This window comes from Homo sapiens, chromosome 2, assembly GCF_000001405.40.
Source record: "Homo sapiens chromosome 2, GRCh38.p14 Primary Assembly".
In the NCBI taxonomy this organism is placed as follows: Eukaryota; Metazoa; Chordata; class Mammalia; order Primates; family Hominidae; genus Homo; species Homo sapiens.
The window spans coordinates 155,571,859-155,598,501 of NC_000002.12; the positions used below are offsets into that span (position 1 = coordinate 155,571,859).

Here is a 26,643-nt window from a genome sequence, read left to right on the forward strand (position 1 = left end):
ATGGAATGTTCTTCCATTTGTTTGTATCCTCTTTTATTTCGTTGAGCAGTGGTTTGTAGTTCTCCTTGAAGAGGTCCTTCACATCCCTTATACGTTGGATTCCTAGGTATTTTATTCTCTTTGAAGCAATTGTGAATGGGAGTTCACTCATGATTTGGCTTTCTGTTTGTTATTGGTGTGTAAGAATGCTTGTGATTTTTGCACATTGATTTTGTATCTTGAGACTTTGCTGAAGTTGCTTATCGGATTAAGGAGATTTTGTGCTGAGACAATGGGGTTTTCTAAATATACAATCATGTCATCTGCAAACAGGGACAATTTGACTTATTCTTTTCCTAATTGAATACGCTGTGTTTCTTTCTCCTGCCTGATTGCCCTGGCCAGAACTTCCAACAATATGTTGAATGGGAGTGGTGAGAGAGGGCATCCCTGTTGTGTGCCAGTTTTCAAAGGGAATGCTTCCAGTTTTTGCCCATTCAGTATGATATTGGCGGTGGGTTTGTCACAGATAGCTCTTATTATTTTGAGGTACGTCCCATCAATACTTAATTTATTGACAATTTTTAGCATGAAGTGCTGTTAAATTTTGTCAAAGGTCTTTTCTGCATCTATTGAGATAATCATGTGGTTTTTGTCTTTGGTTCTGTTTATATGCTGGATTACATTTATTTATTTGCATATGTTGAACCAGCCTTGCAGCCCAGGGATGAAGCCCACTTGATCATGGTGGATAAGCTTTTTGATGTGCTGCTGGATTCGGTTTGCTAGTATTTTACTGAGGATTTTTGCATCAATGTTCATCAGGGATATTGGTCTAAAATTCTTTTTTTGTTTTGTTTCTGCCAGGCTTTGGTATCAGGATGATGCTGGCCTCATAAAATGAGTTAGGGAGGATTCCCTCTTTTTCTATTGATTGGAATAGTTTCAGAAGGAATGGTACCAGCTCCTCCTTGTACCTCTGGTAGAATTCAGCTGTGAATCCATATGTTCCTGGACTTTTTTTGACTGGTATGCTATTAATTATTGCCTCAATTTCAGAGCCTGTTATTGGTCTATTCAGGGATTCAAGTTCTTCCTGGTTTAGTCTTGGGAGGGTGTATGTGTCCAGGAATTTATCCATTTCTTCTAGATTTTCTAGTTTATTTGCATAGAGGTATCTATAGCATTCTCTGATGGTAGTTTGTATTTCTGTGGGATCAGTGTTGATATCCCCTTTATCGTTTTTTATTGCATCTATTCGATTCTTCTCTCTTTTCTTCTTTATTAGTCTTGCTAGTGGTCTATCAATTTTGTTGATCTTTTCAAGAAACCAGCCCCTGGATTCATTGATTTTTTGAAGGGTTTTTTGTGTCTCTATCTCCTTCAGTTCTGCTCTGATCTTAGTTATTTCTTGCCTTCTGCTAGCTTTTGAAAGTGTTTGCTCTTGCTTCTCTAGTTCTTTTAATTGTGATGTTACGGTGTCAATTTTAGATCTTTCCTGCTTTCTTTTGTGGGCATTTAGTGCTATGAATTTCCCTCTACACACTGCTTTAAATGTGTCCTAGAGATTCTGGTATGTTGTGTCTTTGTTTTCATTGGTTTCAAAGAACATCTTTATTTCTGGCTTCATTTCGTTATGTACCCAGTAGTCATTCAGGAGCAGGTTCAGTTTCCATGTAGTTGAGCAGTTTTAAGTGAGTTTCTTTTTATTTTTTTCTCTTCTTGACACGGAGTCTCGCTCTTTCGCCCAGGCCGGAGCGCAGTGGTGCCATCTCAGCTCACTGCAAGTTCCGCCTCCCAGGTTCATGCCATTCTCCTGCCTCAGCCTCCCGAGTAGCTGGGACTACAGGCACCCACCACTGTGTCTGGCTAATTTTTTGTATTTTTAGTAGAGACGGGGTTTCACCATGTTAGCCAGGATAGTCTTGATCTCCTGACTTCATGATCTGCCTGCCTCGGCCTCCCAAAGTGTTGGGATTACAGGCGTGAGCCACCGTGCCTGGCCTTAAGTGAGTTTCTTAATCCTGAGTTCTAGTTTGATTGCCCTGTGGTCTGAGAGACAGTTTGTTACAATTTCTGTTCTTTTACATTTCCTGAGGAGTGCTTTACTTCCAACTATGTGGTCAGTTTTGGAATAAGTGTGATGTGATGCTGAGAAGAATGTATATTCTGTTGATTTGGGATGGAGAGTTCTGTAGATGTCTATTAGGTCCGCTTGGTGCTGAGCTGAGTTCAATTCCTGGATATCCTTGTTAACTTTCTGTCTTGTTGATCTGTCTATTGTTGACAGTGGGGTGTTAAAATCTCCCATTATTATTGTGTGGGAGTCTAAGTCTCTTTGTAGGTCTCTAAGGACTTGCTTTGTGAATCTGGGTGCTCCTGAATTGGGTGCATATATATTTAGGATAGTTAGCTCTTCTTGTTGAATTGATCCCTTTACCATTATGTGATGGCCTTCTTTGTCTGTTTTGATCTTTGTTGGTTTAAAGTCTGTTTTATCAGAGACTAGGATTGCAACCTTTTTTTGTTTTCCATTTGCTTGGTAGATCTTCCTCCATCCCTTTATTTTGAGCCTATGTGTGTCTCTGCACGTGAGATGGGTCTCCTGAATACAGCACACTGATAGGTCTTGACTCTTTACACAATTTGCCAGTCTGTGTATTTTAAATGGAGCATTTAGCCCATTTACATTTAAGGTTAATATTGTTATGTGTGAATTTGATCTTGTCTTATGAGTTAGCTGGTTATTTTGCTCGTTATCTGATTCTGTCATTATGATGTTAGCTGGTTATTTTGCTCATTAGCTGATGCCAAATTGTAAAGACCATCAGTGCTAGGAAGAAAAAATCTTTTCTTAATTGGTAGCTTATCTAAGAAAAATAGGAGTTTTGAGGAAAATAGAGAAATTTTGAAATCCTCATGGGTGAAGGATGAGTGAATGGGACTAGAACAATAACATAATAGGATTGGGGATAGACTCAAGGTCTCTGTTGTCTAGGACTGTGGGTTAGGAAATTTTAGTGTCATCAAACTGCCCAGTTATGTAATTCATCCAACTTTTAAAGGACTGTAGAGACTAATTGCCAAGTTCACATATCCTTGTGGAAGTTAATAATGGTACAATGAGGTAACAAAGTTAAGAAATTTGCAAAGGACATTGCTATGATCTGAATGTTTATCTCATCTCAAAATTCATATGTTGAAATCTCAACCCTAATGGTATTAGGAGGTGATTAGGTCATTAGAGCAGAGCCATTATGAACAACATTAATGCTCTTAGAAAAGAAGTTTCAGTTCCCTTGCCTTTTCTACCATGTGAGGATGCAGTGAGAAAGAGCCATCTGTGAACCAGGAAACAGACCTTCACCAGACATCAAATCTGCTGGCACCTTGATCTTAGGCTTCCAAGCCACCAGAATTGTGAGAAATACATTTCTGTTGCTCATTTGCTACCTAGTTTATGCCGTTTTGTTATAGCAGCCCAAACTGACCAAGATAGACATGTTGAAGGGTTGCATACTGATATTTAAATGAGAAAAGTGTATAATCTCAGCTGGCAAGTGTAAAGGAAGGAAAGGGGGTTAATGTTCTTAATTTCCTTTTCTTTCTTTCTTCTTTCTTTTTTTCTTTCTTTCTTTTTTTTTTTTTTTTTTTTTTTTTGAGACAGGGTCTCACTGGGTTTCCGAAGAACTGGAGTGTGGTGGTTCACTGCAGACTCAATCTTCCCAGCTCAAGTGATCTTCCCACTTCAGCCTCCCTTGTTGTTGGGACTACAGTCACGTGCCGCCACACTAGGCTAATCCAGGCAATATTTTTTTTTGGTGAGGGGGTGGGAACAGAGTTTTGCCATGTTGCCCAGGCTGGTCTCAAACTCCTGGGCTCAAGATATCTGCCTGCCTTGGCCTCCCACAGTGCTGGGATTATAGGTGTGAGCCACCCCTCCTGGCCCAGGGTTATGTTCTTAATTGAAATAATGAAGTAAAGAGATTAGAGATTGTGATTTGAGATTGTCTGCATCTTAGAAATTATTATGAAATTTTGATATTGGGGAAAATTTCTAATTTGTGTAAGTCTGATTTGAAAATTTGATTGAGTGTATACCTTACTTTTTAAAAAAAATATGCTGTTTAAATTTTAAGTTTATGTCTGGGTTGCTTTAGCTACTCCCCATAACTTTTGGTAGGTTAGGTTATTACTGTCACTTAGTTATTGTATATTTAACGTTCCTTGTGATTTTCTCTTTGATCCTTGGGTTACTTAGTAAGTTGTATGCTTTTAAAATTTCAAATATCTTCTTATTGATTTCTAAGTAAATGCCATGTGACCAGTAAACATGTTCTAGATGACTTTGATCTCTTAAAATAAATAGAATAGGCCAGGCACCGTGGCTCACGCCTGTAATCCCAGCACTTTAGGAGGCTGAGACGTGCTGATCAGAAGGTCAGGAGATCAAGACCATCCTGGCTAACACAGTGAAACGCCGTCTCTACTAAAAATACAAAAAATTAGCCGGGCGAGGTGGTGGGTACCTGTAGTCCCAGCTGCTCGGGAGGCTAAGGCAGGAGAATGGCGTGAACCCCAGGGGACGGAGCCTGCCGTGAGCCGAGATTGTGCCACTGCACTCCAACCTGGGCGACAGCGAGACTCCGTCTCAAAAAAAAAAAAAAAAAATTAGCCAGGCCTGGTGTCAGGCGCCTGTAGTCCCAGCTACTCAGGAGGTTGAGGCAGGAGAATGGCGTGACCCAGGAGGCAGAGCTTGCAGTGAGCTGAGATCGAGCCACTGCACTCCAGCCTGGGCAACTGAGACTCTGTCTCAAAATAAATAAATAAATAAAAAATAAATAGAATATTGTTTTATGGCCCAGCATATAATCAATATTGGTCAGTGTTACATGCATACATGAGGACTTTCTCTGCTGCTATTTGGTTCATTATTCTCTAAACATCCATTAGATCAACTTATTAATAGTATTGTTCAATTATATATTCCTGATGATATTTTATCTACTTGTTAGTTTCCAACTATAGTTGTGAATTTTTCTATTTTTAACTTTATTTCTGCCAATTTTTACTTTAAGTAGTTAGACACTTTGTTTTCGGTGTCACTGATTTAACACTATTGTTATAATTGTTAATATTTTATTATTATTATAAATATTGCTATTATTGTTATTAGGTGCTATTAGATACTTACACCTAAAAACAATGTAATACAACCATATTAGAAAATTTTGAAGATATTAATGACTTGCTTAAAAAATAGCAATAGAATATCTGAAATGACCAAAATACTTTTTTAAAGAGGATAAGCGTTCACAACAAAAGCAGGCAATTTACTTAAAGTTCCTGTTAGTGCAGTTCAAAGTTTGTTTTGATAAGCTTTATTTTTTTAATTCTCAAAAACTTGCACTTTAAGCTTAGAGTTATAAAATTAGGCTAAGAAGGTTAGAATAGTCAGAAATTCAAGAACAAATACAAATAAAATACATTGAATGTTAAAAGAAAAGAAGAATCCAGAGGTCTGCTAGTGTTACCCTATAAGCAGCCATATGAGCATACTCAAGTTAAAAATAATGTAGTAATCTGATCAAGATCTCAAAAAATAGAATTTGACAGATAGGTTTGGTCTCCAGAGCTAGTGATCATTTGTCAGAAGCATGCCACACAAATAAAGATAGACTGCAGTATTTTAGAGGAGATTACACTTCATCTTCCAGTTTTTAAATGATTTTGTTTTTACATAAGGCAACAGACAAAGAACACTGAATGATCACTAGCATTAAATAATAACCAATGACCCACATTACATATATTGATTAGCTAACCCTTTCTAGATGTTGGTGTTCTTAAACTTGTCAATAGCTCTTCACAATTAAAAATAACATTGAGTGGGAAAGCACCATTTATCATCTGTCTGGTCAAAGACAACCCAACTTAACTTAGTGGATTATAGATTTGGAATAGATCATTCAGGAAAAGATCTGAAGATATTAATGGGTATTAATTGGGGGGAAAGTTACTGTTATATTATTTCACAATACAGAAATGTGTGCAAATAATAAAAGTGCAGCAGTATTAATTTTCCCAAAATAAGACACCTGTGAAACTACTGCCTCAATCAATAAATATTACATTACCAGCATCAAGAAGCCTCTTCTTGCTTCTTCCTAGTCATTAACCTTCAAGGTAACCACTATTCTGATCTCTAACATCTTGGTAGATATATTAATATCATATTAAAACATGTCACTCATGAAATAAAAATTACCACATTGATTTAAAGATGCTCTGATAATTTCTATAACAGCTATCATTTAAAAATTACAAATATTATAAGTGAATTGCAAATTATAGTGTTGCCTTGTAGGTTTAAAGTAAATTATAGCTGTTCTTCATATTCTTCATAGAGGAGTTTATTTAATTGAATGAAATTTTAAAAACTTAATATTTCCCAGTACCTGTGGTTTTCAAGTCTACTAGATACTAAGGTATCTGTCTTTATGGATTTGATCATTATATACATATGTAGATATATTTTGTAATTGACACCTAATAATTGTACATATTATGAAACACAGGGTGACATTTCAATACATATATACAATGTAAGTAAGTATCATTTCAAGGCAAAAAGGGAACTCTTATACACTGCTGGTGAAAATAAAAATTAGTACAGTCACTATGTAAAACAGTATGAAGACTCTCTAAAAACTAAAAATAAAACTACCATATGATCCAGAAATCACTCTACTGTGTATTTATCCAAAGTAAAGGAAATCAGTATTTCAAAGAGTTATGGACCCCCGTGTTTATTGTAGCTCTATTCACAATAGCCGAGATATGAAATCAACATAAATGTCTATCAAAGGATACATGGATAAAGCAAACGTTATACACACATACGCGCGTGCACACACACACACACACACACAGTTGAACACTATTCAGCCCTGAAAAAGAATAAAATCCTGTAATTCATTGCAACATGGATGGAACCGGAGGACATTATGTAAGTGAAGTATGAGAAGCACAGAAAGACACAAATCACAAATTCTCACTCATGTGGGAGGCACAAAAGTTGTGCTCATAGAAGTAGACTACTGGTTACTAGAGGCAGGGAAGGAGAAGGGAGAGGATGGTTATTGAATACAAAATTACAGCTAGATAGAAGGGGTAAGTTCTAGTATTCTACAGCACTGTAGGATGACTATCATTAATAAAAATTTATTATATGTTTTCAGACCGCTAGAAGAGAGGATTTTGAATGTTCCCAAAACAAATAAATAATCATTGCTATTACTATTTTTACTACAAATTAGTGCAATTATCTTTAGTAATAATATTAAGGAGTAACAAGGAGAAGAATCAGAAGGTGAAAGAAGAGGATGAAAGATTTATTTTAAATATTTTTCATTTTGAAAAAGTAATTTATTTTCTTTGTAATCCAAGAGTTTATTTGAGAAAGGGTTCTAAATAATATCAAAGGCATTTATATTTATTTTACTTTCATATGACTTTTGTAATTTATTTTAAATTTTGCTCAACTTTATGTAACTTCTCCCTTATAAGTTTCTGATATATGGAAGTATTTGGAGACATAGGACAAAGGTGTAAAACCAAATAAAAGTTTAAAATAGATATTATGTACTGTGCTCAAACACATACATAACAGCATTCAAACACACACACACCTGCAATTTGATTGTCTTAGTTAGACATCCCCTTTTATCCTTCATATTCTGCTTGCTATTTAGTATTGAAAGACTCAGGGAAGTCTCTACACTTAAAAGATCTTGATTTTTAATGACAGGAGAGAGTAAATAAGAATATGGAAATGGGAAGATAATCATATTTGGGTGACTTCTATCTCTACATTTATATTCCTTCTGAGTAATGAGATAACTTCCTCATGTCAAAGTTTTATGTCCTTATAGATACAATTTTTAAATATTATTTTTGTAAATTTTTATCATTATTATGCTCTTTCTCATGCACTAACTCACTTGATTCTCCTAAAAAAACTTGAATTGATTGGTATATTTTCCAAATTTTGCAGATTAAAAAAGTAAGACTCAAAAACTTAAGTAAATTTCCTGAAATTATATGTCTAATGACTATGGTTGGAGCTGGATCGCAAAGCCAGATCTGGCCTCATTTTGCAAACATATTCTACACAGAATAAAAATTGTAGATAACCATTGTGTTTAGAATTCACAAAGTCAACAATTTCTGGTTTCTGCCTATCAAAATTCGAAGAAATTCCAGTTTTTTTAGAGTCTCTCCCAATCCTGATATGTCCACAAATCTGGAACTATAATTTTGTTGAGAATATTTTCCATGAAAATTGCATACATAATACAGTGATTAAAAATTAATTTACTAAATGTTTTCCATTAATGAATTCAGTTCATTGGAAAGTGCAAACACGAATGACACAGGCAATTTTTCTATTATCTTTATATTGTATTATTTATTCACCATGGCCGTATTTTCATGATATTTAGAATTCTTACGTTGAGTTGACAGAGAGTACTAAGAGATTCAGCTAACTTAACCCTTGCCTTTTTATAAGTTATAGACATATTGTTATCAATATATGATCAAACAGAATATAGAGGGGCATATAAGTGACAAACCAAGGATTATATAATCATTTACCCTATGCAATATAACTATCTGACATACACATGTACATACACATAAAATATACATAGTTATATGTTTAATATACACAATTTCCACTTAATCTTTGGAAAACTGAAAGCTAGCTCTTTGCTATTTCAACTTCTTACTTTCTTTACTTGAAAACTTGAAGTTTTATTCCCTTTGGAAAATTAATTAAAGAAAAATAACTTAAAAACCCACTTAAGTTGTCTCTATTTTATTGTTAGTTGGATTCAGAAAATAATATATTGAAAACCACCATTGTTTTACTGTATATTTTCTCTTATGAAAAGTAATATATATTTAAGTTTATTTTTAGTTTATCTCTTTTATACGTAAGTTACACTTTTTTAAAAATTTTATTTATTTTTAATTTTTAAATTTTTAAATTTTTAAAATTTTAACATTGTTTTAATTTTTATGGGTACATAGTAGGTATATATGTTTATGGGTTATATGTGATATTATGATACAGGCATACAATACATAATAATCACATCAGGGTAAATGGGGTACCCATCGCCTCAAGCATTTATCATTTCTTGTTGTTGCAAACATTCTAATTATACTATTTTAGTTATTTTAAAATGTATAATAAATTATTGTTGACTGTAATCACTCTGCTGTGCTATCAAATACTAAATCTTATTTATTCTACCTTTTTGTACGCATTAACCATCCCCTTGTTACCCACTACCCTTCCCAGTCTCTAGTAATCATTATTCTACTCTCTTTCTCCATGAGTTTAATTATTTTAATTTTTAGCTATCACAAATAAGTGAGAACATGCAAAGTTTGTCTTTGTGTGACTGGCTTATTTCAATTAACATAACAACCTCCAGTTCCATCCATGTTGCAAATGATAGGCTCTCGTTTTATTAATGGCTGAATAGCACACCATTGTGTATACGTATCATATTTTCTTTTTCCATTCGTCTGTTGATGGACACTTAGGTTGCTTTCAAATCTTGGCTATTGTGAATAGCATTGCAATTAACATGGAAGTGCAGATGTCTCTTTGATATACTGATTTTCTATCATTGGGCTATATACCTAGCAGTGGGATTGCTAGATCTTATGGTAGTTCTATTTTTCATTTTTTGAGGATTCTCCATACTGTTCTCCGTAGTGACTGTACTAATTGACATTCCCACCAACTATGTACGGGGGTTTCCTTTTCTCCACATCTTCACTAGCATTTGTTATTGACTATCTTTTAAATATAAGCAACTTTAACTGGGTTAACATGATATCTCATTGTAGTTTTGATTTGCATTTATCTGATGGCCAGTTATGTTGAACATGTTTTCATTTGCCTGTTTGCCATTTGTATGTCTTCTTTTGAGAAATGTCTATTCAGATCTTTTGCCCATTTTTTAATCAAATTATTAGATTGCTTCCTATTGAATTGTTTGAGTTCCTTATATATTCTGGTGTTTAATCCCTTGTCAGAAGAATATATTGTAAATATTTTCTCCCATTCTGTAGTTTCTCTCTTTCTTTGTTGATTGTTTCCCTTGCTGTACAGAAGCTTTTTAACTTGATATTATTCCATTTGTCCTTTTTTGCTTTGGTTGTCTGTGCTTGAGGGATATTACTCAAGAAATCTTTGCCCAGAACAATGTCTGGAAAAGTTTCCCCAATGTTTTATTGTGGTATTTTCATAGTTTGAGGTCTTCTCTTAGATTTAAGTCTTTCATCCATTTTGACTTCATTTTTGAATACGGCAAGAAACAGGGGTCTCATTTTATTCTTCTGCTTATGGATAATCCAGTTTTTCCACTACCATTTATTTAAGAGGTTGTCCTTGTCCCAGTGTATGTTATAGGTACCTTTGTCAGAAATGAGTTCAATGTAGATGTATGGGCTTATATCTGGGCTCTCTTTTCTGTTCCATTGGTCTTTGTGTCTGTTTTTATGCCACTACTATGTTGTATTGGTTACAAAAGCTCTTTGCAAAAATAACCTCAGTTTTGTTCTTTTTTGGCTCAGGATTGCTTTAGCTTTTGGGTTCTTTTGTAGTTCTATATAAATTATAAGATTTTTTCTTTTTCTATGAAGAATACCATTGGTATTTGAATAGGGATTACATTGAATCCGTAGATTGCCTTGGGTAGTATGAACATTTTAACAATATTGCTTCTTCTACTCTATGAAATTTGAATATTTTTGCATTTTATTGTGTCCTCTTCAATTATTTTCATCAGTGTTTTATAGTTTTTATTGTAGAGATCATTCACTTTGGTTAAGCTTATTCTTTTGTCTTATTTTACTTATAGCTATTGTAAGTGGGATTACTTTCTTGATTTCATTTTTAGATTGTTCACTGTTGGCATATATGAGTACTACTGACTTTTGTGTGTTGATTTTGTATCCTGCAACTTTACTGCATTTGTTTATCAGTTCTAATAGTTTTTCTATACAGAAAATCATAACATCTGCAAAGAAGGATAATTTAACTTCTTCTTTTCCAATTCGGATGCACTTTATTTCTTTCTCATGTCTGACTGCTCTAGCTAGGACTTCCAGTTTTATGTTGAAGAACAGTGGTGAAAGCGGGCATCTTTATTTGGTTCCAGATTTTAGAGAAAATGCTTTCAGTTTTTCCCCATTTAGTGTGATTCTAGCTGCGGGTCTGTTGTATATGGCTTTTATTGTATTGAGGTATGTTCCTTCTATACCCAGTTTTTTGAGAGCTTTTATTATAAAAGGATGTTAAATTTATCAAATATTTTTTCAGCATCAACTGAAATGATCATATAGGTTTTTACAGTAGATACATTTATTCCAGCTATTTTTTTCTTTATTTTGTTTCAATAGTTTTTGGGAAACAGGTGGTTTTTGGTTACATGGATAAGTTCTTTAGTGGTGATTTCTGAGATCTTGGTGCACCCATTACCTGAGCAGTGTACACTGTCTACAATGTGTAGCCTTTTATCCCTCACTAGCCTCCCACCCTTCCCTCTGATTCCCCAACATCCATTATATCATTCTGATGCCCTTGTGTCCTCATACTTTAGCTCCCATTTATAAGTGAGAACCTTCAATATTTAATTTTTCATTCCTGAATTACTTCACTTAGAATAATGGTCTTCAACTCCATCCAGGTTGCTGCTAATACCATTATTTCATTCCCTTTTAAGACTGGGTAGTATTCCATGGTGTGTGTGTGTGTGTGTGTGTGTGTGTGTTTGTGCATGTAATGCATGGTGTGTGCCACTATCACAGAGAGGAGATACAGTGGTCAGTAAATATAAGCTCTTCAACTGGATTGCCTAGGGGATTCATCAGAGAAGCAGTGTGATCCACAGAGAGCAGAGATGAGTGAGTCAGGGCAGATTCCCAGCAGGATTGGCACAAAGCCAAGGGGGGCTCCCCACTCTGGGGAAAGGGTGAGTGAATGAGAGCCCCCAGGGACCCACACTTCTGCCATGGACCTTATCAGTACTGAACACAGGAGAGTCCCTCCCTCCCCTCCCCACAGGGCCTCCAGACTGACATGGAGAGTTGTGCAAAGTCCGGACAGAGCTGCTGCTCAGACTCATGTGGAAACCCAGGGATCTTGGGTCCCTGAGTGCCCTGACTCCAGCAGCTGTAGTTCCACCAACAAGGGAGGTCAGGCTTTCTCACATGCCCCCAGGAAAGGGGCTGCATCCACAGTGCTGAGGAGCAGACAGACTGCAGACCTCGCCTCTGTTGCACCACTCCAGGCAAAGCTCTGTGACCTGGGACCCCAGGACAACTACCCTACCCCAACCTCAGCACTTGACTATAGCAGTTCTGCATTCCTCTAAGGTGGAGCTCCTAGGGGTAACTAGGAGGTCTACAGCTTTTGCCACTGCCACAGTCCCTGCCCATACTGCCTTCAGGCTGGGAAGGGAGCAAAGAGCACAAGAGCTATCACCTCGGTTGCTGTACAGAAAAGTGGCCAGACTGTTTTCCTCATGGTTCCCTGCCCCTGCTACTCCTCACTGGGGAGGTCCTCCCAACCTTGGCCCGCAGAACAGCCACCCTACCCATGCCTGATCACTTCAGTCAGTGGAGGACCTGCATATCTCTGGGGTAGAATTCCTAGAGACAACCCATAACCCCTCGGCCTCTGCCACTGCAATGGTGTCACCCTTGTTGCCCTTGGGCTGGAAAGGGAACAAAGACCCTGATCACTTTGCTCACACCCCCAGCACATCCCAGCTGCTCTGTGGAGAGCAGCCCAGTGTCTCTTCCCTTTCAGCTCCTAACCCCTTGCTTTTCACCAAGCTAGGCCCCCAGCTTGGGCCCACAGTGCAACAGCCCCATCCTGAGCTGAACATTCCATTGGCAGCAGCTCTGTATCTCTCTGGGGTGGAGTTCCCAGAGGCAACTTACAGCCCCTCTGCCATTGTCACCATAGTGGTACCTCCTTTTCTGCCACTGGGCTGGGAGTGAGCAAAGAACCAGAGTGCTTTACTTGCAACTCTAGCACACTGTGACCACCCTACACAGAAGAGGCCAGACTGTCTTCACCATGAGCCCTCCCATCTGCTCCCTGGCTTGGGCCTGCAATGCAGCTACCCTACCCAGATTAGATTAGCAGCAGTTCTGTGTTTTCCTGTGGCAGAACCCCCAGAGACAAGTTTAAGACCCTTGCTGCTGCCACTGCCAAGGTCGCCACTCCTGCTGCCCCCAAGCTGGGGAGGGAACCGAAAGCCTGAGCTCACCCTGGGTTTGCCATGCACAGCCTGGGAGTGCCAAGCCAATATTTGTGGCCAGCACTTGAGTGTGACAGAAGCCTCCACTCTCAGAACTCTGAGAGGTAGCACAGCTGCAAATGTGAGGAAATATTGAGGAGGAGCACTGATCAGTAAGAGCCTATTTATGGACACTACATGTAAGTTCCATCTACTGGATCACAGCACAAACTTCAACGGGAAAAAAACTTGGCTAATATTCCTCCTTGTGAAACCAATGACAATAATTCAGCCACAAATAAAGACCCTACGCAAAGCTTCAGCCTTCCGCAAACATCTAGAAATGAAGCCAACTGATGGTACTCAAATGTCACCACAGTTAAAGAACATCAGTCCACACAGATGAGAAAGAACCAGTGCTAAAACTCTGGCAACTCTAAAAGCCAAAATGTCCTCTTACATATAAATGACTGTACTAGCTCCCCAGATATGGTTCTTAACCAGAATAAAATGGCTGAAATGACAGATGTAAAATACAGAATTTAGATGGCAACAAAAATCAAGATTCAGAAGAAAGCTGAAATCTAATCCAAGGAATCTAAGGAATCCAGTAAAACAATACACAAGCTGAAAGATAAAGTATCTGTTTTAAGAAAGAACAAAAGTGACCTGACAGAGATGAAAAACTAACTATAAGAACTTCATAAAACAATCAGAATTATTAGCAGCAAAATAAACCAAGCTGAGGAAAGAATCTCTGAGCTTGAAGACTGGTTCTTTGAATTAACTCAGTCAGACAAAAGTAAAGTAAAAATGTATTTGAAAAAATAAACAAAATATCTCGGAAGAAATATAGGACTATGTAAAGAGACCAAATTTGTGACTCAGTGGCATCACTGAAAGAAAAGGAAGGAGAGTAAGCAACTTAGAAAACATATTTGATGGTCTTGTTCATGAAAATCTCCCCAAACTCACCAGAGAGGTTGACACAGAAACCTGGGAAATTCAGAGATCTTTGCAAGATACAATACATGATGACCATCTCCAAGACAAAAAGACATCAGATTCGCCATAGTCACTGTGAAATAAAAAATACTAAAGTCAGGTAGAGAGAAAAGGCACCTATATAGGGAACCCTGTCTGCCTGACAGTGGATCTTTCAGCAGAAACCCTAAAAGCCAGAAGAAATTGAGGGCTCATATTCAGCATCCATAAATAAAAGAAATTACCATTTTGGAGGCCAAGGTGGGTGGATCACTTGAGCTCAGGAATTCAAGACCAGCCTGGGCAACATGGTGAAATCTCGCCTCTACCAAAAATTAAAAAAAAAAAAAAAATAGCTAGGCGTGGTGGTATGTCTAGGTGACAGAATGTGGCTCCATCTTAAAAATAAAGAAAAGAAATTCCAGTCAACAATTTCATATCCCACTAAACTAAGCTTCATAAGCAAAGAAGAAATACAATCCTTTTTAGACAAGTAAATCCTAAGAGAATTTATTACTACCAGACCTGCCTTGCATATGGTTTTTACTAAGGGAGTGCTAAACACGAAAACAAAAGACAGTTACTGGCCACCACAAAAACACACTTAAGTATGAAAATCATTGACTCTTAAAGCACAATTAAGTCTACATAAAAACCAGCTAACAACATATGACAAAATCAAATCCTCAAATATTAATATTGAGTTTGAATGTAACTGTGCTAAATGCCCCACTTAAAAGGCACAGGGTGGCAAGTTGGATAAAGAAGCAAGACCCAACTGTATGCTGCCTTCAGGAGACCTGTCTCACATGCAAGGATACCCATAGGCTCAAAGTAAAGGGATAGAGAAAGATATATCAGGCAAACAGGAAAAAAGAATCAGGGGTTGCTATGCTTATTTCAGACAAAACATACATTAAACTAACAATAATCAAAAAGGACAAAGAAGGGCACTACGTAATTATAAAGGGTTCAGTACAATAAAACTTATCTATCCTAAATATATATGCACACAACACTGTGGCACCCAGATTAATAAAAGAAGTTGTTAGAGATTTATGAACAGACTTATAACCACACAATAGTAGTCAGAGACTTCAACACCACACTGACAATATTAGACAGATCATCAAGGTACAGTACTAACAAAGATATTCAGGATCTAAACTCAACAGTTGGTCAAATGGACCTAAGAGACATCTACAGAACACTCCAGACAGCAACAACACAATACACATTTTTTTCATCTGCACATAGCACATACTCTAAAATTGACGACATACTTGGCCAAAAAGCAATTCTCAACAGATTAAAAAATAAATCCCAAAACACAAAATCACACAAACCACAATCTTGGGCCATAGTGCAATAAAAAATTACATCAATACCAAGAAGATCTCTCAAAGCAACTAAATTACATGGTAATTAAACAACTTGCTCCTGAATGACTTTTGGCTAAAGAATGAAATTAAGGCAGAAATCAAGAAATTATTTGAAAATAATGAAAACAAAGATGAAACATACTAGAATCTCTGGGATCCAGCTAAAGCAGTATTAAGAGGAAAGTTTATAGTGCTTAACACCCACATCAAAAAGTTAGAAAGGTCTCAAATTAAAGTCACCAAAGTTTCAGGACTCAAAGTTAACATACAAAAATCAGTAGCATTTCTACACACAAATGATGTTCAAACTGAGCTAAATCAAGAACACAATCCCATTCACAATAGCCACAAAAGGAATAAAATTACATTTCACCTAAAGGAACTAGAAAGACAAAAACAAACCAACCCCAAGGCTAGCAGAAGAAAAAACTAACCAAAATCAGAACTGAACTAAATGAAATGGAAAGGAGAAAACACATACAAAAGCTTGTGGTAAGGTTATCATTCACATTTAGGATCTTTAAGATTTTTCTCACCTTTGGCAAGCCTTTTGGGAGCTTTATTGCCTGGTTTGATTATTTAGATTTTATCCACCAAGATTTCAATCTCAGAGTGTTCTTGCCTTTCTCAGGACAAGATTGCCTGCATTGTCCATTCACTATAATCACTGGGAACAAAATAACCAAGTGATGGCCCTGTCTCTCCACAAGTTCTAGACACACATCTCCAGTCCAATTTTTTAGAAGTAACACTAGATTTTTATGGTGTTCAGGGTCAAACATCCCCATGAGTTTGGTAATTTATTGATTTGTCTCCTGGAACAGTGGCATAAGGAGTTTGAAGTGACCAACTGGTATAGTTACTTCTTGGTGGAAGTCTTCCTCAACTAGGACCCAGAATCCCTAATCCAGCAGAGCCTAAGATTTCACTGGTGAAAAACACAACTTCTTTAATTGTATCGCTGGGAGTGATGGGGAGAGAGACAAACTTTACTCCTGTACTTCATATCCTTGGCTTCCCTATTGTAGATATTATGGATACAGAAAAATATGCAAGTGATTGGAATGTGTATACTACATCCTGGAACAAAGCTCCCCAATCTCACACAGCACTGTCACCAAGCTGACCCTTTTGCTGAACTGTTAACACATAATGTTACTGTTGTATTAGGTTTGCTGTTTCTGGATAATGAGGTAGGATATATAGAAGTCCTTAGATAATGGTTCTGTCAGAGCACTGTGATAAGAGAGGAAGAACTTTATAAGTTTTTTTTTTTTTGCAGGTATCCTGTAAGAACAAATTGCTGCCTCCTCCAGGTGGAAAGGGATCAAATATAATTAATCTGTGTGTGCCACACAGTAGCTTGATAGTTTAATTGAGGAATGTTGACATATTGAGAGCTCAGCATTACTTTCTGCTATCAGCAGTGACGGTAAGTAGCTAACTCTTATTGAGATAAAGCCTGTGCTATTGGGCCCATACATAGTCTCTGTCTTTGCCACCAAAGCCACTTTATACTTATGACTATAAGTGTCTCAGCCACCACATTCCTGAATGCCTCACTGAACACCTATACTCACACTCACTGTACATTTCAACCAACAATGGGTTATTGTATTACCACCAAATGCAAGGTTATTAGCAATTCACTTCTATATATCTGGGGGATAGGCAGTCAGGGTAGAAATGCAGAATAAATAAGAGGAAAGTGAGAAGTGAAAGAAAAAGAAAAATATGTACTTCAAAGATAATGAGGTATGATATATACCTTTCATGTTCATTTAAATATACATCTATGTGTGCTCCCATGCATAGATATGTACTTATTTATATGCCATAATGCAAAGCAGTTATAATGAAATTGAGTTAGAATTGTGTGTCCTGACTTGTAGAACTGCATGTGTTACACTAAGTGAAAATAGAAGGTTGCAAAGTGGTGTGTACGGTATGATTCTGCATCTGTAAAAATAAATGCAATATATATTTGTATAAAGAGGAGTTTTTTAATATACAAAAATCATTTTATATTGATTAACATAGTGGGAGAACAAGATAAGTACAGGGGAGGTAAAGAAGACATCATGTTTAGCTCCATCTTTATATCCTTTTCCCTCTCTTCTTTCATTTTTTATACCGTAAGAAGGTATTATTCTGTGTTACCAATAATTCAATTTAAAAAGTAAAATATAAATACATATAAGTTTGGAAAAACATATAACAAAATGTCTAGATTGATTTTCTTAGGCTGAGTAAATGTTTCAGGTTGTCTTCTTCAAAATTTGAATGCTGTTTAAAATTAAATGATTTCTATAATTTTAAAATACAAAATAGTATACCAAATAAGGCAGTTGTGAATGTTGATCCTAACTCATGATGCATTTGAACACTCATGTTATCTAAATAGAATTACAATATTTTTTATTTCTCACTGAAAGATTAACAGCATCTTCTGTTCTAAAGAATGAAGTGAAAGTGGCTGAGACACACAGTGCACTGTGATATTTAGATGGACCTTTGCAATAAGTTTTAAAGCTGTGTTCTTATTATGTAATCTATTTTGTGGGCTCTGTTGAGAACAACTGTCCTTGTAGCCATTCAAGAGAAGCAGAGTTCAGGTAATCTCATCCTTTGCTCTACCTCAAAGTGGTTAACCCTCTCTCCTTTCTGTGCACACATTCCAGTCAGCACAAAGACACTTTTCATTACCTCCTAAAAACCACAACATCAGTATCTTTTGGATTTGTAGATAACCCTAAAATCATCATAAAGGGTCTTTGAGGCATCTGGTAAAGCTCTCTCACAGAGATGCTAATTGGAAGGAGGTGCTGGGCTTTTACACTTAAGCTCTATGTGTATTTAAGGTTGAACAAGATATAAAGTGAAAAGAGAAGAGAAAGTTATCTGCTCTCATGCTCTCATTTCTAATGTGAGCTCCAAGAGAGAAATTCTCTATAGAGCATCTTAAGACGTTTTAGAGGCATTCTTGACTTACTCCCTCCTGTAACACTTTATAATAATTTAGGGGATGAAAATATGTCTCAGATAGCTTGCTGGATTCCCTAAAAAAACAAGAAGGTGAAAATGGGAGAGAATATTAGTAGGCATGCACACATGTGTTAATACACACACACACACACACACACATACATAAACGTACACACAAACTGAGCATGGAAAGAAGAAAGGTGGGTGTTGGACAGGACAAAGGAAAAGGAGAGGGAGAGAGAGACAAAGAGAAAGAGAGAGAAGAGTCTCACAAAGGAAGAGTAGGAAAGGAGGAGAAAATAAAATCAACAAAGGTAGGTTTCACGCTTGTCTCAAATGAGTATGTTCTCCACAGCCTGTATTTATTAGCTGAAGCGATATACCAGACTGATAGTACTGGATAAAGAAGCTAAAAAGGCATATATCTTTGAATAATGTTGACAGAGATGAAGGGACATGAGTGAAGAGAGGAGAGTTCGGATCTGAAAATACATAGATGAGTACATGATGTAGATCCTTGATGACTTTAATATTGGAAAATAGAAAAGGTGCAGTGCTCTCATGTAGTAGGCACTAAAAACATGCTGGTGAGCTACCTCTGTATTAGGCAGTAAGTTTGTGTCACATATCTCCTATGAAGGGATATTTGTGGGATTATTTGCTCCCTAAAATCTTAGAAGAGCCAGCAGGCTCTATGAGAGACACTTTCTTACATTGTCTCCACAAAAAGTTTACTTGGGAAGCAAATACTGAGTACTGTAATATCAGAAGTCAGCAGGATATATTTTCTCAAGTACACAGCCCTTATATAATTACTAAATTTAATATAATTTTATTTCAAATGTACATTAAATGTAATGCTTTTGAGAGAAAAAGAATATATACACTCAAAATTCTTTCAAGGAATTCAAATAATTCCTCCAAAATAATTTTAAAATATATTATTAAGTTTCATTACATTAAATGTTTAATTTGTATACAACTTTGAAAATTAAAAACTTATTTTATTTCATAGATTTTGTGCTTTAATGAATTATATTACTATGGATATATATCTTCTTTGCCATAATGAATTAAAACTCTCAGTATTTTTATTGGTATTATACGCTGACAATCACTTTACTCAGAAATATTCAATGATGTAAATATTTTTAGCATAAACTTACATATTCGTATCAAAATTTTTTCTAGGCATGATTAAACAGGTAACTTTTCTTTAAAGTTTACCCATATGTGGTCATCCATATCTCAGTTTTCTACATAGATTACAAAGGCATACAACTTAGCTTCCAATTACTTTTAACCTTTCCTACCACTTCTTTAATAGAAAGGAGAACACAGCATCCTACATATCATAGTACAAAGTATAACTCTAAAGCTATTGCTATGTGATATATTGCACTAGAAAAAGGAACAAGTAATCGTTAACTGCATTTATGTAACACAGTACTACAAAACTGATTAAACTCTAACCTTACCCAACTCCTCTATAACTAGTGCCCTCAAAAAGCTCATTCTTTCACACATTATGCTTTGCTACTTCTCCACTCTGTCTGCAATTTTCATTTTATTTCTCTGCCTCTAGTTCCCCATTCTTCATGAATTCAGTAATTCATCTCTATAAACACATATTAAATTTCAGTGTTAGAAACGTAGTCCTCAAGCATCAGAAGGAGTGCCAGGATGAGGACTTCTGAAAAATCCTCTTTTCCATAAAAGCAATGAGAAAACTGGCTAAAATCAGCTTTTACAGAACTCTGGAAATTAACCAAAGGCTTGCAGCAATCCAGGGTGCATCATTCAAGAAAAATGGCAGAATCACAGTAAGAACAGTGAGCTTTGCCATTTGACTGGCTTATGCCCATTGCTGCACCATCTTTACAGTAGCTTTGAAAACCAACAGCCTGCAGTCACAGTGAAAACCAAAAGCCTGGCAGCCACTGGAGGGGGCAGAAGTGGATTGAATCTCCTTGAAACCCCATACCCAGACAATTGTCCTTCCTTGATATGTTTGGTAATTTTCCAGAAGATCCTATACAGAAGGTTTTTTATTTTACCTGACTCAGAGCTTGAGAGAATAGCCTTTTCTCTAGAGAAAACAACAAACAGTAGCAATTGTTTACTATCGTGACTGAGCCAGCAGTGAGTAACAGTTAGGGCAAACAATAGGCAAACAAAATAATCTCAGAAATGTGTTAAGCAAGTGGTCTATATTTCAAAAGTTTTGACACATTTCTGGGGTATAGAAGGCCACTTATATTGGTAGGGTTATGCATGTATTCAGGCCCTTGCACGTGATCTGTGCTTCCATTTCTCACTGACCTTGAAATTCAGCCTAAGCAGAAAAAGAAGGCTAAGTAAGAATTGTCAACTGTGTTCGTGAGTTTTAAAGAGATGATCCAAAATGCAGACACAGCCCCTTAGGAAAGACTGGAAAAAGTATTTGTTCCAAGCATTAAAGAAAATCTCTGTTTAACTATTAGCTGACCAGTAAGCTAAGTAAAGACTCCCACGTCCACACATGATAAAGAATAAAGACATTAGAGAATTAGCTCAGAGAAAGTAACTCATCCAACAGTCATAATAACAAAACCTGAGGAGTAGAGATTATATGATTTCCAGAACTCTGGAAATGTGTAGTTTTCACCAGAAGTGTTCTTACCCAGAAATAAAAAGTAGTCACTTGAAAATACCACTAAGAAAGCCCACATGTTGGATTTACTAGACAAAGACTTTTAAAATTAGCTGTTTTAATAAGGTGAAAGAACTAAAGAAAGCCACATCTAAAGATTTAAAGAAAAATGTGAGAATGATGTCCCACAAAACAGAGAATACAAATAGTGCTAGCAATTGTTTTTTTAAAAAAACTATACAAAATTTCTAATGTTGTATACTACAATAACTAAAGTGAAAAATTCACTAGAGGAGGCTTCAGCAGATTTGATCAGGCAGAAGTAAGAAAAAGCAAATTTAAAGACAGGTCAATTAAAATGACCCAGTGCGAGAAAAAGAAAGCAAATAATTGTAATTATAATAAATAAATAAATACAGAAAAATAAATTAGGCTTCAGACACCTGTGGGATACCATCAAGCTTGTTATATAAATAATGAGAATTATAGAAGAATAGGGACAGAAACACAGAAATGACATTTGAAAAAATAAGTGAAAAATTTCCAGATCTGGAGAAAAATATTAAATTATTTTGACTGGCTTATGCCCATTGCTACACTACATGCTGTGTACAAAGGGATACACATTAGATTCAAATAAATAGTTTAAAACTAGAAGATTGGAAAAGAATACCACACAATTCGTTGCCAAAAGATAGCAGGAATGGTAACGCTAATAAATTAAACATATAATAGTCTCAACAAACATCAAGAAGGAAAATTCAAAGATGTTTACACCTAGACACACTATACTCAAACTGTTGAAAGACTAAGATAAAGAGGGAATCTCAGAAGTAGCAAGAGAGAAGCAATTCATCGACTGCAAGGTAGCTATAATAAGAATAACTGTTGATTTCTCAGTAGAAATAATGAAGCTGTGAAGACAATGGTATGCAAATTTAAAGTACTGAAAGAAAAGTCTATCAAACAAGAATACTATTCTTCAAAAGTTAAGGATAAATAGAGATATTTTTAGATAAACAAAACCTGAGAGTATTCACCTCAAGCAGATCTGCCTGATAAGAAATAATAAAGGTAGTCTTTCAGGATGTAATGAAAGGATACTAGACGTAACTTGAATCAAGATAAAGAAATAAAAACTACCAATAATAGTAACTACATAGATAAATATTAAATATCATTATAAGTATATTTTTAATACTCCATAAAGTAATAATTATAAACTTGTACTTATAAAAATTCAATAATAAAAATGTATAAACGCATAACTTGTATGTCAATAAAATCACAAGTTTGGGGGAGAACTATATAGAAGCAAATATTTCATATACAATTTAAATAAAGTTAGTATTGACATGAAATAGCCTGTAATAAATTAAGATGTCAATTGCAACCCCAGAAAAGACACTGAGAATATAACTCCAAAATAATATGGTAAAAATGTTACAAGAGAATTACAGTGGTATCTTAGAAAATATCTAATTAGTACAAAAGAAGGAAATGATGTTGGAATAAAGAAATTAAGAAGACATAAGACATATAATAGAAAAATATAAGATATAAATTTTACCTTATCATTAATTACATTAAATAAACCTGTAAATAAATTACACCTTCAATCAAAAGGCAGAGATTGGCAAGATGGGTTTAAAAAATTTTTACCCAACTACATGCTGTCTACAAAGGGATACACATTAGATTCAAAGAAATACTTTGAACCTAGAAGATTGGAAAAGAATACCATACAATTAGTTGCCAAAAGATAGCAGGAGTGGTAATGCTAATATCAGACAAAATAGACTTTGTAAAAAAAAATTTTTACTAGAGACAAATGAAGACATTTTATAAGGATAAAATATCAACCCATCAAGAAGATATAACAATTATAAACATATTTCTGGGTATAACAGAGCCCCCAAATTTATGAAACATAAACAGAATTAAAGAAAAAAATATATATCTCATTAAGAGTTGAAGTCTTTAATACTTCATTTTCAATAGTAGATAGAACAACTAGGAAGGATAACAGGGAATACAAGGCTTGAATTATAAAGTAATCTAAGTATAGCCAATGGACATCTATAGAACACCATACTCAAGAATAACAGGATACATATGTTTCTTCTCAATTACACATAAAATATTTTGCAGGATAGACCATACTGAAAATGCCATAAAACAAGTTAAATAAATTTAAGAGGGCCAAAATCACACAAAAGTATGATTTTCTGATCATAATAAAATGAAATTAGAAATAAATAACAAAAGGAAATTACAGAAATTCATAAATGTGTGGAAATTAAACAACACACACACAAACAACAAATGGGCAGAAAAGGAAACCACAAATGAAAATTAAGAAATATGTTGATATAAATTAAAGAATATATAACATACCCAAACTTAGGAGATGCCGTAACAGCATTACTTAGAAAGAAATTTATAGGTGCAAACACTTACTAAACAAGAACTTAAATCATTAACCTAACTTTCCACCTTAAGGCATTAGAAAATGTGTATATTAATGTGAAACAAGAAAAATGATGAGAATTATACAGATCAGGAGAGAAATAAATAAAATGTAGAAAACAAGTAGTTTACCTGGACCAACCAAAAAAAAATTACTCTTTTCCAAAACCAGGAATGAAAACTTGAAGATCATTAAAAAGATTAGAGACATGAAAAAGATGAAAAAGCTATAAAAATATATAAGAAAAAGTTAAATAATGTAAATGGAATGGAAATTTTTTTGAAAGATTAAAAACTGCCTCACTGAAGGAGTAGAAAATCTGAATAAATCTATAACATAACAAAGATATGGAACTGATCATCAAAATTTTTCCACAAATAAAAGCCTAGGACTCAGTTGTTTCACTGGTAAATTCTAACAAACATTTAAATAATAACTAACAAAAATTCTTTTGAAACTCTCTCCAAAATAGAAGAAACACTTTCTCATTTTTGAGGCCAATATTACCATGATACTGAAGCCAGACAAATACATTACATAAAAATCATTTAAGTCTAATAGCTGGCCCTTATGATTATAGATTTCTTCACAAAATACCAGCAAACTGCATCCAGAATAATAAAATGAATAATTACCATGATCAAGTGGGATTTATCTTAAAAATGCAAGGGTGGTTCAACATACAAAAATCAATAAATGTAATTTATCATATTAACAGAACGGAAAAAATACACGATCTCTCAATAGCTGCAGAAAACACATCTGAAAAAATTCAGTGTACTTTCACTGCAAAAACACTCAACAAACTAGCAATAGATGTAAAGTCCCTCAATATAATAACAGATATCTATAAAAAATCTATAGCTAACACATTTAGTGGCAAAAGATTGAAAGCTGTTTCCCTAATTTGGACACAGACAAGGTAGTATGTGCTAGCTATTTCCATTGAACATTGTGCTGGAGTTTCTAGACAATGCAATTAAATAAGAAAAATAAATAAAAAACATTCTCATTGAAAAGTAAAAGCTATTAGTAAAGGATATTGTCTTATGTGTAGATATTCATAAGGAATACACACACACATACACACACACACATTTTAGAGTTACTCCAGCAAAAATAAGGAACACAAGATTAACATACAAAAATCAATTTTGTCACCACAAATGAACAATTTGAAAATAAAATTATGAAAATAATTCCATGTACAATAGCATCAAGAGGAATAAAACTCTTAAAAATAAAGGTAACTAAAGAAGCATAAGACTTGTGCACTGAAAACTGCAGAACATTATTGAAGGAAATTTAAAAAGAGCTAAATAAATGAAAATACATTCTGTGTTCATGGATTGGAAATGTAGTATTGTTAAAATGGCAATATCCCTTCACATTGATCTGAAAATTCAATACAATCTTGATCAGATTTCCAGTTGATTTCTTTTTTTTTTTTTTTTGAGATGGAGTCTTGCTCTGTCGCCCAGGCTGCAGTGCAGTGGCATGATCTTGGCTCAGTGATAGCTCTGCCTCCCAGGTTCACACCATTCTCCTGCCTCAGCCTCCCAAGTAGCTGGGACTACAGGTGCCCACCACCATGCCCGGCTACTTTTTTGCATTTTTTTACTAGAGATGGGGTTTCACTGTGTTAGCCAGGATGGTCTCGGTCTCCTGACCTCGTGATCCACCCGCCTCGGCCTCCCAAAGTGCTGGGATTACAGGCGTGAGCCACTTTGCCTGGCCTCCAGTTGACTTTTATGCAGAAACAGAGTTGATCCTAAAATGAATAGGGAAACGTATATGACCTAGAATAACCAAAATAATTCTGAAAAGAACAAAATAAGAAGACTAAAAATTCTCAATTTTAAAACTCAATACAAAGCTGCAAGAATCAAAACAGAGTTGTACTAGCATAAGAATCAACATACAGAACAAAGGAACTGAATTTGAGTCTAGATTGAAACCCATTATTTTGATGAATTTATTTTCAACAAAAATGACAAGACAATCTAATGGAGAAAAAATAATCTTTTTCCACAATGATGCTGAGTCAACTTGATACCCACATAAGAATGAATGAAGTTAGAAAAATATCTCACATCATATACATAAATTAACTCAAAATTTATCAAAGACCTAATGTAAAAGCTATAAAGTTCTTAGAAGAAAAATTAAGCATAAATCTTAGTGACTTTGAATTAGGCTCTGGTTTCTTAGGTATGACTCTAAAAACACAACAACAAAAATAGACAAATTGGAGCTTATCAAATTTAAAATTTTGCTGAATTAAAAGATACCATCAGGAATATGAAAATGTAGCCCACAGAATAGGAAAAAATATTTACAAATTATATATTCAGGATTTGTCTTCAAAATATATAAAGAATTCTGATGACTCAATGGTAAAAGGACAAATAACCCAAATAAAAAATGGGCAAACGGTATGAATAGACATTTCTCTAAGGAAGATATTCATATGAACAATAGCACATGAAAAGATGCTCAGCATTACTAGTTATTGTGGAGATTAAATTTAAAACCACAGTGAAATTTTACTTCACACTCACCATGCTAGCTTAAATTTAAAAATGTGGACAATAATAAGTGTAGCCATGATACAGAGGAATTGTACCCCTTATAAATTACTGTTAGGAATGGAAGATGGTGTAGCCACTTTAGAAAACATTTTGGCAGTTTCTTAAGAAATTAAGCAGAGTTACCATGTGACTCAGTAATTCAACTTCTAGGTGTATACCCAAGGGATTTAAAAATATATATACACACAAATCCTTGTACATGAATGTTCAAAGCAGTGTGATTTATAATAGCTGAGAAGTACAAATATGCCAAATGTTCATCCATTAATTAATGAATAACAAAATATAG

General features: G+C 35.2%; 1 long non-coding RNA gene across 2 annotated transcripts in view; it reads left to right on the forward strand.

Moving 5' to 3' along the window:
- The window catches only part of LOC107985953 (uncharacterized), a 139,261-nt gene that overhangs the window by 46,384 nt on the left and 66,234 nt on the right, over nucleotides 1–26,643 (forward strand). For both annotated transcript variants that reach the window (XR_001739746.3, XR_001739747.3), the window contains one exon: nucleotides 16,959–17,108. This is a non-coding gene — a long non-coding RNA (uncharacterized LOC107985953). The remainder of the gene's footprint in view (nucleotides 1–16,958; nucleotides 17,109–26,643) is intronic.